Genomic DNA, 17,208 nt, shown 5'->3' on the forward strand with positions numbered 1-17,208 from the left:
GCTCAATTTTTAGTTTACTGAGAAACCTCTACACTGTTATCCATAGTGGTTGTACTAATTTACATTCCCATCAACAGTTTATAAAGACTCTCTTATCTCCACATCCTCATCAACATTTGTTATTGCCTGTATTTTTTATGTAATTCATTTTAACTGAGGTGAGATGTTATTTCAGTACAGTTTTGATTTGCAATTATCTGGTAATCAATGATGTTGAGCACCTTCTCATGTGCCTGCTTGTGATTTGTATGTCTTCTTTCATGAAATTTCTAGTCAAATCTTTTGCCCATTTTTTTTAATCAGATTATTAGAGTAATATAGAGTTGTTTGAGCTCCTTATATATTCTGGTTCGTAATCTGTTGTCAAATGGGTAGTGTGCAAATATTTTCTCACATTCTATGGGTTGTCTCTTTACTTTCTTGATTGTATCACTTATGTGCAGAAGCTTTCTAACTTGTTGTGATGCCATTTGTCTATTTTTCCTTTGGCTATCTGTGCTTATAGAGTATTACTGAAGAAATTTTTGCCCTAAACAATGTCCTGGAAAATTTTCCTGGTAGTTTTCTTTTCTTTTTTCTTTGTTTCAAGTTGTAATCAAAGCTTGTGTATAAGATTACTTTATTCCTGCATCTTCTCAATTGTTTCTTCCTTGTATTTGCCCTTTTGCTTTCCTACTTGGCAAGATTTGGCTTTCCGTTCACGGATATTTTTGCGGTCTTTGTCCAGTTTTAGCCTAGTGATAACCACCTTGCTGGGGTGAATGCCTACGTGGACAGTTGTGCCATTAGCCTTTTCCCGCTGCACCCGTTCAATGTAGATAGCATATTTCTTCCTGTAAACCTTGACTATTTTGCCAATTTGTTGACCTTTATAGTGTCCTCGTACAACCTGAACTTCATCATCCTTTTGGATGGGCATGGATCACCCGTTATACTTCTGTTTCAGCTCGTTGGAAAGAGGGGAAGACAATCTTCCCGTGAATGTAGGAAGGTGCATTGAAATGCCTTTTGCGACTCTTCCTTCAGTTGGAAGTCACAAAGGGATTAAACTTCATTTTGGCCGCTCCCTCTTCAGTGATGGATGCAAAAGGGAAGAGAACTACACACTCCTGATAGTTTTCTTGTAGCAGTTATGTAGTTTGAGATCATAGATTTAAGTCTTTAATTCATTTTGGTTTGATTTTGTATATGGTGTGTATTATTCCATTCTCATACTGCTATGAAGAACTACCTGGGACTGGGTAATTTATAGAGGGAAGAGGTTTAATTGACTCAGTTCCGCATGGCCAGGGAGGCCTCAGGAAACTTACAATCATGGTAGAAGGCAAAGGAGAAGCAGGCACCTTCTTTACAGGGCGGCAGGATGGAGTGAGTACAAGCAAGGGAAATGCCAGATGCTTATAAAACCATCAGACATGGTGAAACACTCTATGATGAGAACAGCATGGGGGATAATGCCTCCATGATCTGATTACCTCCACCTGATCCTGCCCTTCACACTTGGTGATTACACAGATTATGGGGATTAAATTTAAGGTGAGATTTTGGGTGAGGACACAACCAAACCACATCATTGTGAGAGATAGTTAACCAGTTTTATTATTCTGTATAAGGATATCTAGTTTTCCCAGCATCATTTATTGAAGGACTGTCTTTCCCTCAGCATATGTTCTTGGTATCATTGTCAAAAATGGTTTCACTGTAGGTGTGTGGATTTGTGTCTGTTTCATTGGTTTAAGTGTCTGGTCTGAGTTCCAGCACCATACTATTTTAGTTACTATAGTTCTGTATTATAATTTGACATCAGATAATGTGATTATTCCATTTTTGTTCATTTTCCTCAGCATACCTTTGGCTATCCTGGGTCTTTTGTGGCTTCATATACATTTTAGAATTAGTTTTTGCTAGTTCTGTGAAAAATGAATTTGTATTTTGATACAGGCTCTATTGCATCTGCAGATAGCTTTGGTAGTGCGTACATTTTAACAATATTGATTCTTCCAATCCATGAACATGGAATAATTTTCCATTTTATGGTGTCCTCCTTAATTTTTTATCAGTGTTTTATAGTTTTTGATATAGGAATCTTTCACTTCTTTGGTTAATTTCTAGGTATTTATGTGTGGCTGTTGTAAATGGGATTTCTTGTTTTGTTATTTTTTTTCACATTGTTAACTACTGGCATATAGAAATGTTACTCATTTTTTCTACATTGATTTTGTATCCTGTAACTTTACTGAATTTGTTTATCACTTCTAATAATAGTTTCCTTGTGGAGTCTTTAGATTTTTCCAAATACAAGATCATATAATCTGCAAATAAGGGCATTTTGACCCTTTCCTTTCAATTTGAATGCCCTTTATATCTTTCTCTTGTCTGATTGCTCTAGCTGGGACTTTCAGTACTATCTTAAATAACAATGGTGCCAGTGTACGTCCTTGTTGTGCTCCAGATCTTAGAGAAAACCCTTTCAGTTTTTACGCATTCAGTTTTTACGCATTCAGTATTATATTAGCCGTGGCACTGTCATAATGGATTTTATTATGCTGAGGTATATTCCTTAAATTTCCACCGTTTGAAGGTTTTTATTATGAAGATATGTTGAATTTTATCAAATGCTTTTTCCACATCAATTGAAATAATCATATAATTTTTTCCTTTATTCTGTTGATATGATGCATCGTATTGGTTGATTTGTATATGTTTAAACATCTTTGCATCCCAGGGATAAATCCCACCTGGTCATGATGAATAAACTTTCTTAGGTATTATTGAATTCAGTTTGCTAGTATTTCGTTAAGAAATTTTGCAACAATATTCATCAGAAATATCGCCCAGTGCTTTTCTTTAATTAATGTGTCTTTTTATAGTTTTGGTATCAGGGTAATACTGGCCTCATAGAATAAGTTTGGTCTTGCCCTCTATTTTTTAAAATAGTTTGAACAGAATTGATATGAGTTTTTCTTTATATTTTTGTTAGAATTCAGTAGTGAAACCATCAGGCCTTGGGCTTTTCTTTACTGTGAGACATTTCATTATGTATTTGATCTCATTATTTGTTAACGGACTGTTCAGGTTTTGGATTTCTTTCTGGTTAAATCTTGGTAAGTTGCATGTATCTAGCAATTTGTCCCTTTCTTTGAGATTTTCCAATTGTTTCCAATTTGTTTTAAGAATTCTTTTAACTTTCTTTTTTCATTGAACTGCTGGTCACTTAGGAGCATATTGTTTAAATTTCATGTATTGGCATAGTTTCAAAAATTTCTCGTTATAAATTTCTAGTTTTATTCCATTGTTGCCAGAGAAGATGCTTGATATTATTTCAATTATTTGAATATTTTAAGACTTGCTTTGTGACCTAACATATTGTTTATCCTTGAGAGTCATCCATGTGTTGAAGAAAAGCATGTGTATTCTGCAGCTGTTATGTAAAATGCCGTGTAAACATCTATTATATCCATTTGTTCTATAGTACAGATTAATCCTGATTTTTTTTTATTGATTTTCTGTCTAGAAGATCTGTCCAGTGCTGAAAGTGGGGGTGTCAAAGTCTCCAGCTATTATTGTACTGGAGCCTATCTCTTTCTTTAGCTCTAATAATATTTTCTGTGTATCGGGGTGTTCCCGTGTTGGGTGACTACATATTTAAAATTGTTATATCCTCTTACCAAATTGACCCCTTTATCATTATATAGTGACCTACTTTGTCTATTCTTATAGTTTTTGTCTTGATATCTATTTTTTTCTAATATAAGTATAGCAACTCCTGCTTTTTTGGGGTTTGCATTGGCATGGAATATAATTTTCCATTTTTTAATTTTCAGATTATGTGTGTCTATATAGGTGAAATGTACTCCATTTACACAACAGATAAATGGATCTTGTTTCTTCATCCATTTAGCCAGTCTATATCTTTTGATTAGAGTGTTTAGTCCATTTACATTAAATGTTATTATTGATAAGTAAAGACTTATTCCTGCCATTTTGTTATTTATTTTCTGGTTGTTTTGTGGTCTATCTTTTCTCCTTTTATTCTTTCCTGTCTTCCCCTAGTGAAGATGATTTCCTCTGATGATATAATTTAGTTTCTTGCTTTTTATTATTTATGTATTCATTGTATGTTTTTTGGTTTGAGGTTACCATGAAACTTGCAAATACTGTCTTATAGCCCATTATTTTAACCTAAAAACAACTTAATATTTGCATAGAGAAACAAACAACAAGCAAAACAATAACTAATACAAACTTGCCTTAACTTTTTCCTTCACCTTTTAAATTTTTGTATTTTCTATTTATATTTTATTGTACTATGTCTTGAAAAGTTGTTTTAGGTATTTTTGTTTGGTTCTTTATTTAGTCTTTCTACATATAATAAGAGTAGTTTACACACCACAGTTACAGTAGTTACAGCTTTACAATATTATATGTTTTTCTATGTAGTTGATACTACCAGTAACTTTTGTGCCATCAGATGATTATTTATTGCTCATTAATGTTTTTTATTCATTTAGTTGAAGTACTCTTCTGAGTATTTCTTGTAATATGGGTCTTGTATTGATTAAATTCTTCATCTTGTATTTGTCTGGGAAAATTATTATTTCTTTTTCATGTTTGAAGGTTATTTCACCAGATATACTATTCTAGGGGATACGTTTTTTCCTTCAGCATTTTAAATATGTCATGCCATTCTTTCCTGGCCTGTAAGGTTTCTACTGTAAAGCATACTTCCAGATGTATTGGAGCTCCAATGTATGTTATTTGTTGCTTTTCTCTGGCTGCTTTAAGACCCTTTTTTTCCTTGACCTTTAGGAGTTAGAGTATTAAAAGCTTTGAGATTAGTCTTCTTTGGGTTAAATCTGCTTGGGGTTGTATAACCTTCTTGTACTTGGATATTGATATATTTCTCTACATTTGAGATGTTGTATTTTATTATCACTTTGAATAAACTTGCTATCCCTATCCTTTTTCTACCTCCTCTTTAAGTCCAGTAGCTCTTATATTTACCCTTTTGAGGCTATTTTCTAGATCCTGTCGGTGTGCTTCATTGTTTCTTCATTTTTCTTTTTTCTCCTCTGAATGTGTATTTTCAAATAGCTTGTCTTCAAAGTCACTAATTTTTTCTTCTTCTTGATCAATTCTGCTATTAAAGACTCTGATGCACTCTTCATTATGTCAATTGCATTATTTAACTTCTCCAGAATTTATGCCTGATTCTTTGCAATTATTTTAGTCAGCTTTTTAAATTTATCTGATAGAATTCTGCATTTCTGCCCTCCGTTATGTTGAATTACTTTGAGTACTTTGTGTTCCCTCAAAACAGCTATTTTGAATTCTCTGTCTGAAAGGTCACATATTTCTATTTTCCCCAAATTCATTTCTGGTGCCTCATTTAGCTTATTTTGTGAGATCATATAGTCCTGAATAATCTGGATGCTTTTGGATGTTTATCTGTGTCTGGCTATTTAAGAGATAGGTATTTATTTTCATCTTCACACTCTGTGCTTAGTTGTACCCAACATTCTTGGGAAAGCTCTCAACATATTCAAAAATACTTGATTGTTGTAATCTTAGCTGCATGTGCATTAGGGGGAACCCCAAATCCAGTAAAGCTGTGGTTCTTGCAGACTTATTGAAGTACCACCTGAAGGTCTTAGATGAAATTCTTAAGAATTATCTGGATTATGAGGCAGAGACTCTTGTTCTCTTCCCTTATATTCTCCCAAATAAATGAAGTCTCTCTCTCTCTCTCTCTGTCTCTCCATTCTGAGCTACCTGGATCTGGTGGTGGGGTGTTACAAGCACCCCTATGGGCACCACAACTGAGACTGTGCTGGGTTAGACCCAAAGCCAACACAGCACTGGGTCTTGCCCAAGGCCTGCTATAACCATGACCTGGCTACGGCCTATGTTCACTCAAGGCTCTACAATCAGCAGCTGGTGAAGCCACCAGACTTGTATTCTTATCTTCAGGGCAGTGAATTTCCCAATGCCATGGTGGTTCCAGAGATGACATCTGGAAACCAGGGACTATAGTTAAAAAAAAACAAAAACAAAAAACCAAAAAAAAAACCTTAGAAATCTACATGGTGTTCTGTTGCAGAGTGGCTGAGTTGGCACTCAACCCATGAGATACAGTTCTTTTCTCTCTTCCCTCCCCTTTCCACAGGCAGAGGAGCCTCGCCCCATATCTATCCCCACCACAGGCCTATGGGGATTACTGCCAGGATACCACCAATATTCGCTTTAAGCCCAAGGGCTCTTCAGCAAGATTGAGGTGAATGTTGCCTGGCCTATGACTCACCTTTCAGGGAAGTGGGCTCCTCTCTGGCCCAGAGCAGGCTTTGTGATGCCATCCAAGAGGCAAGTCCTGAAATCAGGGATCCAAAGGCCTCACTTGGTGTGCTATCCCTTTGTGGCCTAGCTGAAATCTAAGGTGTGAGACAAAATTTTCTTTACTTTCCCCTATGTTTTTTTTCAAGCAGATGAAGTCTCTTCCAATAGCCACTATAGCTGGGAATGTGCTGTAGCAGAAGCAAGGAATCACCAGAAGTAAAAGTCTCAAAGTCTTACCCAAGGACCATGGCATGTACCACCTGGGTATCACTGCTTGTTATTCAGTGCCCATGAACTCTTTAGTCAGCAGGTGATGGGCCCTTCCCTTCAAGGCAGTGGGTTTCCTTTTGGCCCAGGGTGTGTGTAGAAATGTTGTCTAGGATCTGTCACCTGAAAATGGGACCTCACAACACTGACTGGTTCCCTATTTTACTGTTGCTTAGCTGGTATTCAAGAGGCAAGAAAAAGTCCTCTTACCCTTCTCTCTCCTCAAGCAAAATAAAGGGGTTTCTTTTGAGGTCATGAGCTGCACTTCATGAGTTGGGCATGGATGACACAACTACTCTGTTAGCAACCCCAGCTGGTATCTCAGTAGGTCACTCGCTCCCCAAATCTACTGGCTCTGAGCCTAGTTCAGCACTAGGACTCACCTAGGACTTGCAGTCCTTATGGCCTAGACTGTCCTTCAAATTCACATAGGGCCCCAGAGCAGCTTAGCTCGAGGTGGTGAGGCTTGTCAAATTTCAAGTGTCAACTACTTCAAGTGGAAAATTACTCTCAGAGTAGGGTTGGTTTAAATATTCCAGCCATGTTTTGGCATCAGCTGAGTTCAGTTGGGTTTTGCTTTCTGCTCTGACAAGGCAGCACTGAGTTCAAAGCAGTGTCTCACAATTGCTGCACTCTCACTCTCCCAAGCACAGAGATTCTGTCTCTGCACCATGCAGCTGTTGTTGTAGGATGGGAGGGTGGTGACATTTGTGATTCAGCACTTCTTTTCTAACCTTCTTAGTGCCTCTTTTAGTGATATGAAGTTAAAACCAGGTACTTTATGTGCTCACCTGTTTTGTGGTTCTTACGAAGGTGCTTCTTTTTGTGTGTAGATAGTTGTTAAATTTGCATCCTTGTTGGAGGGATGATCAGTGGAGCCTTCTTTTTGGCCATGTTGCTCTGCCTTTCTCCAAACCTTTTTTCTTTATAAATTACTCAAGCCTCAGGTGTTTCTTTATGGCAATACTATGCAGACTAAGACAAAATAATCCACATTTATTACACTATTTAATTTCTTTTCTGTTTACTTTACTAAAATTATTACAGGTGTTTTTTTAATGGTTTTACCCTTTTATATACCCTTCAGCAAATTTCTCTAGTATTTTATTGAATGCAAGATTGATCTCTAAGAGTATGTGATTTTTTTATACCTCTTTCTTCTTATATTGCATCTCACAACTGCTCAAATCAGTAATCCTTCTGACAAACTTTGCCGTAAAATGTATGTATTCTCAATTGCAACAATAAAACATACGCTTTGGAAAGTATTTGGCAACACACTGAGAAGGGTTTTCACAAACATGACTAGTTAAGAGTCTATGTCTTATGGAATTCAACATAGTCTTTTCATTGTAGAGGTCCTGTGTTTACTAAGGTATCTAAGAGCACCAAATGTGCTATTTTCCATTTTGTGTGCCTGGTCAGTCATAGAAGTATAACCATGTTAAAAAGATTAGAAACATTGGAATGTCTCTGAGAGTACTTGAGGATAAACCATAAATAGAAGGCTTTTTACCTGGATACAGTTACCTAGATAATCCCAGGGAAAAGAGCTCATTGTAAATTCATAGAAAAAATGTAGTTTTATGTAACTATGCTTGTCAGCACACTAATTTCTCTTGTCAAATTCAGCAAGATTGCCCCTTATAGCATGCTGTAGTTACCTGGCATTAGTATGCCTATGATTTGAAAAATTATTTTCCCTGAATATTTTTCCTGGCTTACTCAAATGAAAGACTTGTGAGTGAAGTAACAAATTATTAATAATACATGCCATAAAGTAAAACATATTCTTTTTCAGATCTCGATTTATTAATCAAGAATAAATGAATGCATCTGAATTATTTTAAAAAAACCTAAAATTATACAGATTGTACTCAAATTGAGTATTTTCAATATTCTATTCAAAATATAATGAAAGGCATCACTCTTCACATTAACCTATACATTTATGAGGAAGCAGTCAGGTTCTCATATGAAATATTTAACATTGTATCTTGTATGAATTAAAATGAAAAGTATGTCTTATATATTAGAAATTTTGCATCAAGTTCAGACTGGAGAGTCAGCTGCTTTGGCCTTATAAGATAGACCTCAAGGGGTCAGATTCCAAAGCTTGTCATTCTCTACTACCTCAGCCAAGCTTCAATCAGTGTTGCTATAATTATGTGATAGCATTCCATATTAAGTACTATTTATTACCTCTTGTTGATTCTCAATGACTGCTTGACAACTGGCCTTCTTTAAGTGTTACACATAAAAAATTGAGATTTTGATTTAATCTATAATGCTTATGAGAGCGTACCAGGCTTGTGCCATGCTAAATTAGGGTGTAAAAATCTAGGGTTAGAGGTAACCCACTTTTATAATGTCCAGTATTTATTTTGCTCTAGACCCTCAGTCTATAAAAATGTATATTCCAAATGCATCTTAATTGAGTTTGTACTGTTATTGGTTAATTACTTAATTTGTTTTAGTTTCAAAATTAGTTGAATCCCACTATACCAAAGATAAAGACAAAATTGGGATTATAAACTTCTTGTTTTATAGTAAAATAATGGGTTGCTGTGGAGATTAAATTATTTGGGGCATGCAAATCATAGTGCTTTACAAACAGTAATGGTGGCTGGTGCACTTCTAAATATAATTCGCTCATCTACATTTATACAAAACTGTTCTGCCTTGCTTTAAAAGTTCTACCATAGGTGCCTTAAAATACATGCTTATACTGTTTCTTCCAGGATAGAAAACCCATTTCTGTAAGGGTTCTATGTCTGTTGTCTTACTTTTTTTTTTCCAAATTTGTAAACAATTCTTCCTTTCACAACCAGTTCTGAAACCCACAAAAGTCTTACAATGTCATTCAAGATGAGAAAATATCTTGGAATGGACAGGCTCACTTCTATACTTGAAGAAGTTGTTGGAGTACCTGTAGGCAGAGTCTTCCACTACTCTGACTGATAGACAAGTTTGCACTCCATCATGTATGTTCTAAGTACTCAGCCTCTCTAGAGGTTTTCAATCCCAATTATTACTTTTTCTACTAGATAAGAGAGTTTTTGAGAGAGACACTGGGTTGACGACAGGGAATTGATTGAAAGTATGAATATTAATGAGTAAATTTCCCATTCAATCTATCCTAAAAAATAAGTACTGCCTCCACATCTGGAAGTGCTAGCTTCCAAATATGATACATTGTTCCAGTTAAAGAAAACTGAGCTATCTTAGAGTGAAATTTTCTGAGTTCTTGCATTTGAACATTCATCAACATAATGACCAAATCTCTAATCAAAGGTCTCCCTAAGCTTACATGTAAGCAAGCTCGATTGACTTATACAGAGCTTCTTAACAGTTTTTAGTTCCTCATTCTTAACTATGAACATATATTCTGACTTTTGAGAAAAATTGGAATACAAAATGTCAATAAAACAACAACAATAATATGAATCATTGATGGAAAATTTCTGGAGATGTCAATAGGATTCTCACTGAACAGTTATCAGAGTACTGATCAGTTCATGCTTGGGAGGAAACTACTCAAGGCAAAAGAACTGCCCAATAATATGAATAAAACAATTTATCCAACCCAAAGAAAGTAACAGATATTTGATTTTTTGTCTAAAAACAAACAATAACTTGAAAAATATATGAAAATAACACTTTTCAAAACATTGGAGCTCAGGCAATGCATGACAATAATTCCCCAGGTTACCACCTTCTGAGAGTTTCCCAGATGCAGCTCAGAGACAGGGAAGCCAGGGGAAGCCCAGCAGACTCTCACAGTTGAGGAGATATGCCTGTAAGTCCAGAGAGAGCAAGGTGGCTACAGTTTACAAGGTAGAGTAACTTAGAGGAAAGGCCTACACAGAGAAAACACTTAGAAAATCACAATAGGATCATCACTGAGTATTCATCAGAGTACTGTGAAGTTGATGCGTGGGAGAAAACTACTCAAGACAAAAGAATTGCTCAAAGGAATTAGAGGATAGAATACTTGGAGCTCAGACAAGGCCTAGAACAATGCCTATTCTTACCAGCTGCACAGGTCAATGTCATAATTCACGGAGCATTAGGTAAAGTGTTTTTTTTGTTTGTTTGTTTTTTAGACAGAGTTTCGCTCTTGTCACCCAGGCTGGAGTGCAATGGCACGATCTTGGCTCACTGCAACCTCCACCTCCCGGGTTCAAGTGGTTCTTCTGCCTCAGCCTCCCAAGTAGCTGGGATTACAGGCGCCCGTCACCATGCCAGACTAATTTTTTTGTATTTTTAGTAGAGAAGGGGTTTCACCATGTTGGCCAGGCTGGTCTTGAACTCCTGAACTCAAGTGATCCACCCGCCTCGGCCTCCCAAAGTGCTGGGATTACAGGCGTGAGCCACTGCGCCTGGTCAGGTAAAGTATTTTTAGAAGTCTTTCCTTTGGATTAGAGATAATAAGCCTTGCATAAAATGTTGTTTAGGTCCCACCTAACAAACCTTAAAAAGCATGGATAAAGCTGTTTATGAAATAAAACTGCATCCCAGAATAAAGCTTGAGAAGAATTATAGAATAGAAAAATCACCACCACATCAAGCAAGTGGAAGGATTGAATATTATGTAGAGACAAGAAAAATATTCAAAAAGACACAAATCAAATCTGAAAAATTAAAGAATACAATGTCTCAGATGATATTCTGGATGAATGGCAGATCAGACATTACAGAAGAAAAGATAATTGAACTTAAAGTCTTATCAGCAACTATCATAAATGAAACTGGAAAAAAAGGAATAAAAAATGTGAACTGGGAGAAAACTTTAACCTAGGAAACATGTTAAGTGGACCCCCAAAGTTGGAGAGTGGGGACAGAGAGAACATTTGAAGAAAAATATTTGAAATATGGTCATGACAAGCCATATGTTTCTGTCAAGAACTGTAAAGGGTCTGAAATTTTACTCAAACTTGTTAGGTGAGCACAATTTTGGGCCAGCTGAATGGGAAGAAGACTTGAGACTCCTGGATCAGCAACCAAGAACAGTTTATTATTCACAACAACAACAGTAGTTAGAGTGTCACCATTTTTTGCACTGCTTTCTTGAGCCCCAGTTCTCACAGGGTGATGCAATAGAAAGCCAGTTAATATCTCCTCTTACAGGAGAGAAATCTTGAGTTTATGAAACTAACACCTTTTATAATGGGTTCTCTATATGTCTTCCTTTTGCTCCGGAGGGAAACAGTCTCAATCTTTCAAGGCTGTTCTCTACACACATCCTTGAAATGTTAGTTTGGAAAAAGGGACACTTAGTACCTCATTCACAAGACATGCAGAAACTCAAAAGGTAGTACCTCATTCACAAGACATGCAGAAACTCAAAAGATCTATTGAAAATTATCTCCCAAAATTACTATCTAAATTTAATAAAATTTGAAAAGTCAGTTCCTTAGGTGCATGAATCACCTTTTAAGAGTTCAATAGTCACATATGGCTAGAAACTGTCATATTGACAGTGAAGATATGGAACATTTCCATTACTGAAGAAAATACTATCATATAGAATGGTTGTACATCATATAATAGCAATAATAAGGTGTAATAATAATAGTAGCCCTATAAATTATGGGTTATTATCTGCACTTTACAGATGAAGAAACTATGCCTTAAGAAAGTAAAGCAACTTACTAAGTTAATATGTCTAGCAGGTGTCAGAGTTTGGACTGCATTAAACTAATTTCTTATACTGCTTTCTATAATGCCTGTGGCAGATTGTATGTTCAAGTAATGACTGCAACAATATTTATGATCCCACATGCTCTTCTAGATCCTTGCTACTATCCTGTCAAGAAGTGGAGCCTAGGGCTGGGCGCGGTGGCTCACACCTCTAATCCCAGCACTTTGGGAGGTTGAGGCGGGTGGATCATGAGGTCAGGAGTTCGAGGCCAGCCTGCCCAGCATAGTGAAACCCCGTCTCTACTAAAAATACAAAAACTTAGCTGGTGGTGCGCACTTGTAATTCCAGCTACTCAGGAGGCTGAGGCAGGAGAATCACTTGAACCCAGGAGGCAGAGGTTACAGTGTCCTTGAACTTGGGTGGGCCTTTGTTACTGCCCCAATGGAAGTGATATTACATACAGTGTAAATGATGATATGTAAGGTTAACTGTATCCTTGAAAAGATGTCATATCTTTAACAAGATGATAGAGCTTCTACATGGCTCCCTTTTGGGACAATAGCTCCTGGAAGTCAGTTGCCAGGCTATGAGGAATCCCAGGTCACATATTTATATCTTTTAGCTGAGGCCATTATTGAGTTCCCAGGCAGCAGCCAGAATTAACTCATACACATGAATTACGAAGCCTTCTAAATGTCTCCAGCCCCAGTCACCTTTGGATTTTAGCCCGGGAGATCCACAAAAATAATTATCGACCTGATCTAATCCTAACTTATATTTCAAATCATAAATAGTAATAATAAAAATAAGTTTGTTTCATGTTATTAAGCTTGGGATGATTCCTTATGCAGCAATAAATCATTGAAACAATGTATCTTCAAACCAATTATTTAAAAACCTTTTTTTCAGCCAATGAATCAATATTTGTTTGCTTTATTCACTGGTGCATTCAACAAATGAATATATACGTGGGTAATTTCTTGTATAGCCTGTGTCACATTTTGTAGAACTAGAATTAAAAAGAAAAAGTCAATTTATGGCTTATATGAAAAAATATACATATTTAAAAAAGAAATTTTATCTAAGCAAAATTGTTTCTCAAGTAGCTCTGTACATTTTTTATGTATTGTCATATTTGGGTTTCATACCCTAGACTTCTGTCTTTCATTTATTTATTCTGGTTGATAGGTAAGTTGCCTTATCTGCATTATTTCTAAAGATGTGAAAAATTATTATGATTTTTAAATGTTAAAGTAAACATACCTCATACTTTTCACTAAAATGCAAAATATTGTAATAAAATAAATGACAAATTTTTCAAAGAAACATGAAGCATAGTCAATAAAACATACAACTTTATTAAATCTCTATGTTCTAGAATCAATTTTTGCATTGACGTATATTCATAAGACACCTAGAAAATACCTTGTTAATTTTCATAGATTTAAACATTTCACAGGTTTAATTTTAGTAAGCTGACAATTTTCTAGAGGATATTTTTATTTGCAAATACAAATTATTTACAGTTAAACTTTGAAATTGGATATTCTTTCCAACTTGATCAATTCTTAAAGAACTGAGAAAAGTCTCAAAATAAAATGGGTTAGAAATAGTTTATATGTTATTGCTTTAAAATCATTTCAAGTAGTTATAATGCACTTTCACAGAAACATCATTTTGCCTGAAGCATACAGGAGGGACACGGAATCAGGAACGAACAGAATGGAGGCCCCTGGAGCTATGTTTATAGATCCTTGCTCATTTATTGTGCAATTTATTCACTATAGCTTAAGGGACAAGCAAGCATTCATCACCCACTGCTCCCATCATTTTCAAGGCTGTTCAGTAGATAACACAAATGCTAAGCAAACAAGTCTTTTGATCCATTTCAATCTACTTCTGATTTTTCTTTTAGGTAACAAAAGTTTATTGATTTGACTCTATCTATGTGTTTCTATCTCTATGTCTACATCTAAAATTTTTCCATCTGTGTCTCTATTTACACATAAAATTGGAAAAAACACCACCCTTGGAGTATTCTCTGAACAGGGACAGAAAGTAAAATTGTTTGGTACAAAAGGGATTCCCATCTAAGAGTTTAATATGTGTGGAGTCTTAAATAGACAAAGGAGTTAGGCTGGTGAGAGATGGGAAAAACAAAAAGAAAAAAACAGATAAGCTCTAAGTACGCCTTTCTTCACGGTTCAGGTCATATAGACCTCCTGTGCAAACAACTGACAATCTTCCTGAGCCCAACTATCATTAGACACCTACAAGTTAGGTCACCGCAACCTTAGCATTTTTAGTACTGCACAAAGCCCTCTTCAGCAGACAGCATAAACACTATTTTATAAAATTTCCACCGAGCCTTTGTTTCCCGGCAGTCAGTTTCTGCTGGCCTTCCCATTGCCTCCTTGCAAACTATTTTCCTAATAATTTTTCTAATAAATCTGCCTTTCTTTACCTACAACTGTCTTGGCAAATTCTTCTATCCCCATGCCACCGGCCCAGATAGTTGTCGTTCACCTGTAATATTTTGGTGGCCCATTAGGGGACTTTCTTTTCACGGGGAACTCTCTCCCCTGTCTCTTTCCCTTTCCCAACTTGGGACCCTCAGCAGACAGCGTCTAAGCATGAGCCAATTGCAGGTCACTGATTGGAGCTACACACAGGTGGGACCAAAAGGTGTCTATGTGGAAGTGTCTGACCACCATCACCCGTTTTGGTCAAAGGACCTGAGTTTACTTATTTTTTTCTGTCTTCAGCAGCCAGTTTCTTGCATCCCTCTGGCAATTAAACCTGTTTTCCTTATATATTACCCAGTCTCAGGTATTTCTTTACAGCAGCATGAGAACGGACTAATACAGTAAGATGATACAGCAGAGAGTGGGATACTGCTATAAAGGGACTGAAAAATGTGGAAGTAACTTTGGAACTGGGTAACAGGCAGAGGTTGGAAGAGTTTGGAGGGCTCAGAAGAAGACAGGGAGATGTGGGAAAATTTGGAACTTCCTAGAGACTTGTTGAATGGTTTTGATCAAAATGCTGATAGTGATATGGACAATGAAGTCCAGGCTGAGGTGGTTTCAGATGGAGATGAGGAACTTGTTGGAAACTGGAATAAAGGTGACTCTTGCTATGCTTTATCAAAGAGACTGGTGGCATTTTTTTGCCTCTGCCTTAGAGATCTGTGGAACTTTGAACTTGAGAGAGATGATTTAGGGTATCTAACAGAAGACATTTTTAAGTGGCAAAGTGTTCAAGAGGAAGCTGAGCATAAAAGTTTGGAAAATTTGTAGCCTGACCATGCAATAGAAAAGAAAAATCCATTTTTATGGGGAGAAATTCAAGCAGGCCACAGAATTTGTATAAGTAACGAGAAGCTGAACATTATTTCCCAAGCTAATGGGAAAAATGTCTCCAGGGCGTGTCAGAGACCTCCATGCCAGCCCTCTCCCATCAAAGGCCCAGAGGCCTAGGAGGAATACATGGTTTCATGGGCCTGGCCCAGTGCCCCCCTGCTCTATGCAGCCTTGAGACATGGTGCCCTGCGTATCAGCTGCTTCAGCTTCAGGTGATTGTAATTACCTGAGGCCTCCCCAGCCATGCTGAACTCTGAGTCAAAAAACCTCTTTTCTTTATAAGTTACCCAGTCTCTGGTATGTCTTTATTAGCAGTGTGACAACAGACTAATACAGAGGGCTCTGATTGTCTCACAGCTGTATGTAGTAGAGGATCTTCACTTAGTGCCTGAGTGGCTTTGACTCTGGAGAGGCGGACCCATGGAGAGACACCTCGGAGATTTACAGCCATTGGGGTGGTAGGAAGAACTCGATATGGCCCAGTCCAGATGGATTCTAAAGGCCTTTCCTCCTATGCGAGAGTTTTAAGATACACCCAGTCCTCAGGCATCAGTTTAGGCTGTGTGTTCTCTGGAAAAGAGGGATTGGGTTTTAGACTATGAAGATTTTGGTAATGGTTAATGGTTTTGATGGTTTGTCCTAAGAGATATCACATGCTGTGTGAAATAATGACTTTCTGGATCTAACAAGAGGTCTGTTTGTAAGAAGGGCCTTCCATAAAGAACTTCAAATGGGCTGAGATGGGTTTCTGAATTTGGGGTAATGCAAGACCTTAAGAGGGCAATAGGGAGCACAGCGGGCCGTGACTGTTCAGTTTCCTGTATTAGCTTTGTGAGATGCCTTTTTATGGTTTGATTAGCTTTTTCTACTTTTCCAGAGGATTGTGGATACCAGAATGCAAGCAAGTTGTATTTCATTTGAAGGGCCTTAGCAACTTCTTGTTTTGAGAAATGAAGGCAGGGCCATTGTCTTACGGAATGAGTAAGGGAGCCCAACACAGGGAAGAATGTGGTCCAAAAGGGCCGTGGTGGCTTCTAATGCCTGTTCAGTTTTGGTGGGAAAGGCCTCTATCCCCCCAAGTATCTACAAAGACTAGCAAGTATTTAAGTTCCTTGCATTGGAGGCATGTGTGTAAAATCTAGCTGCCAATCTTCTCCTGGTAGGGTCCCTCATCTTCGAATGGAGTAGAGGAGAGGAGGAGATTTGTGGGTCCCTTCAGGATTCATTTTCGCAGCATGTGGCACAAGCCTGCAAGATGGCTCACTGAAGATTGGGTTATTCCTTTACCAATAAACAGTGGACTTACTAAGTTTTGGAGGGCTTTGGCCCCCACATTAGTTGATTTGTGTTAAGCTTTTTAAATGTTTCCATTGTGAAGCTCCTGGAACGAAAGTCTGCCGTTAGAGCTTTTTAGCCAGCTTTCTGAGGTATGAGAGAAGCCTTTCACTAGAGCCCTTTGGGTTTCTTTCTGTGAATAGCGTGAGACAGGAGAGTGGGGTTAGGAACCAAAACTGCCTGAAGGGGCAGCCTGGCAGCTGCTTTTGCTTAGTCATCAGCTCACTTGTTCCCAATTGAGATTTCATCACTGCTTCCCTGATGGGC

General features: G+C 37.2%; 1 pseudogene; it reads right to left on the reverse strand.

Annotated features, from left to right (window-relative positions):
• On the reverse strand, positions 577-1,097 carry RPL26P36 (ribosomal protein L26 pseudogene 36; annotated as a pseudogene).

This window comes from Homo sapiens, chromosome X (assembly GCF_000001405.40).
Source record: "Homo sapiens chromosome X, GRCh38.p14 Primary Assembly".
NCBI lineage: Eukaryota > Metazoa > Chordata > Mammalia > Primates > Hominidae > Homo > Homo sapiens.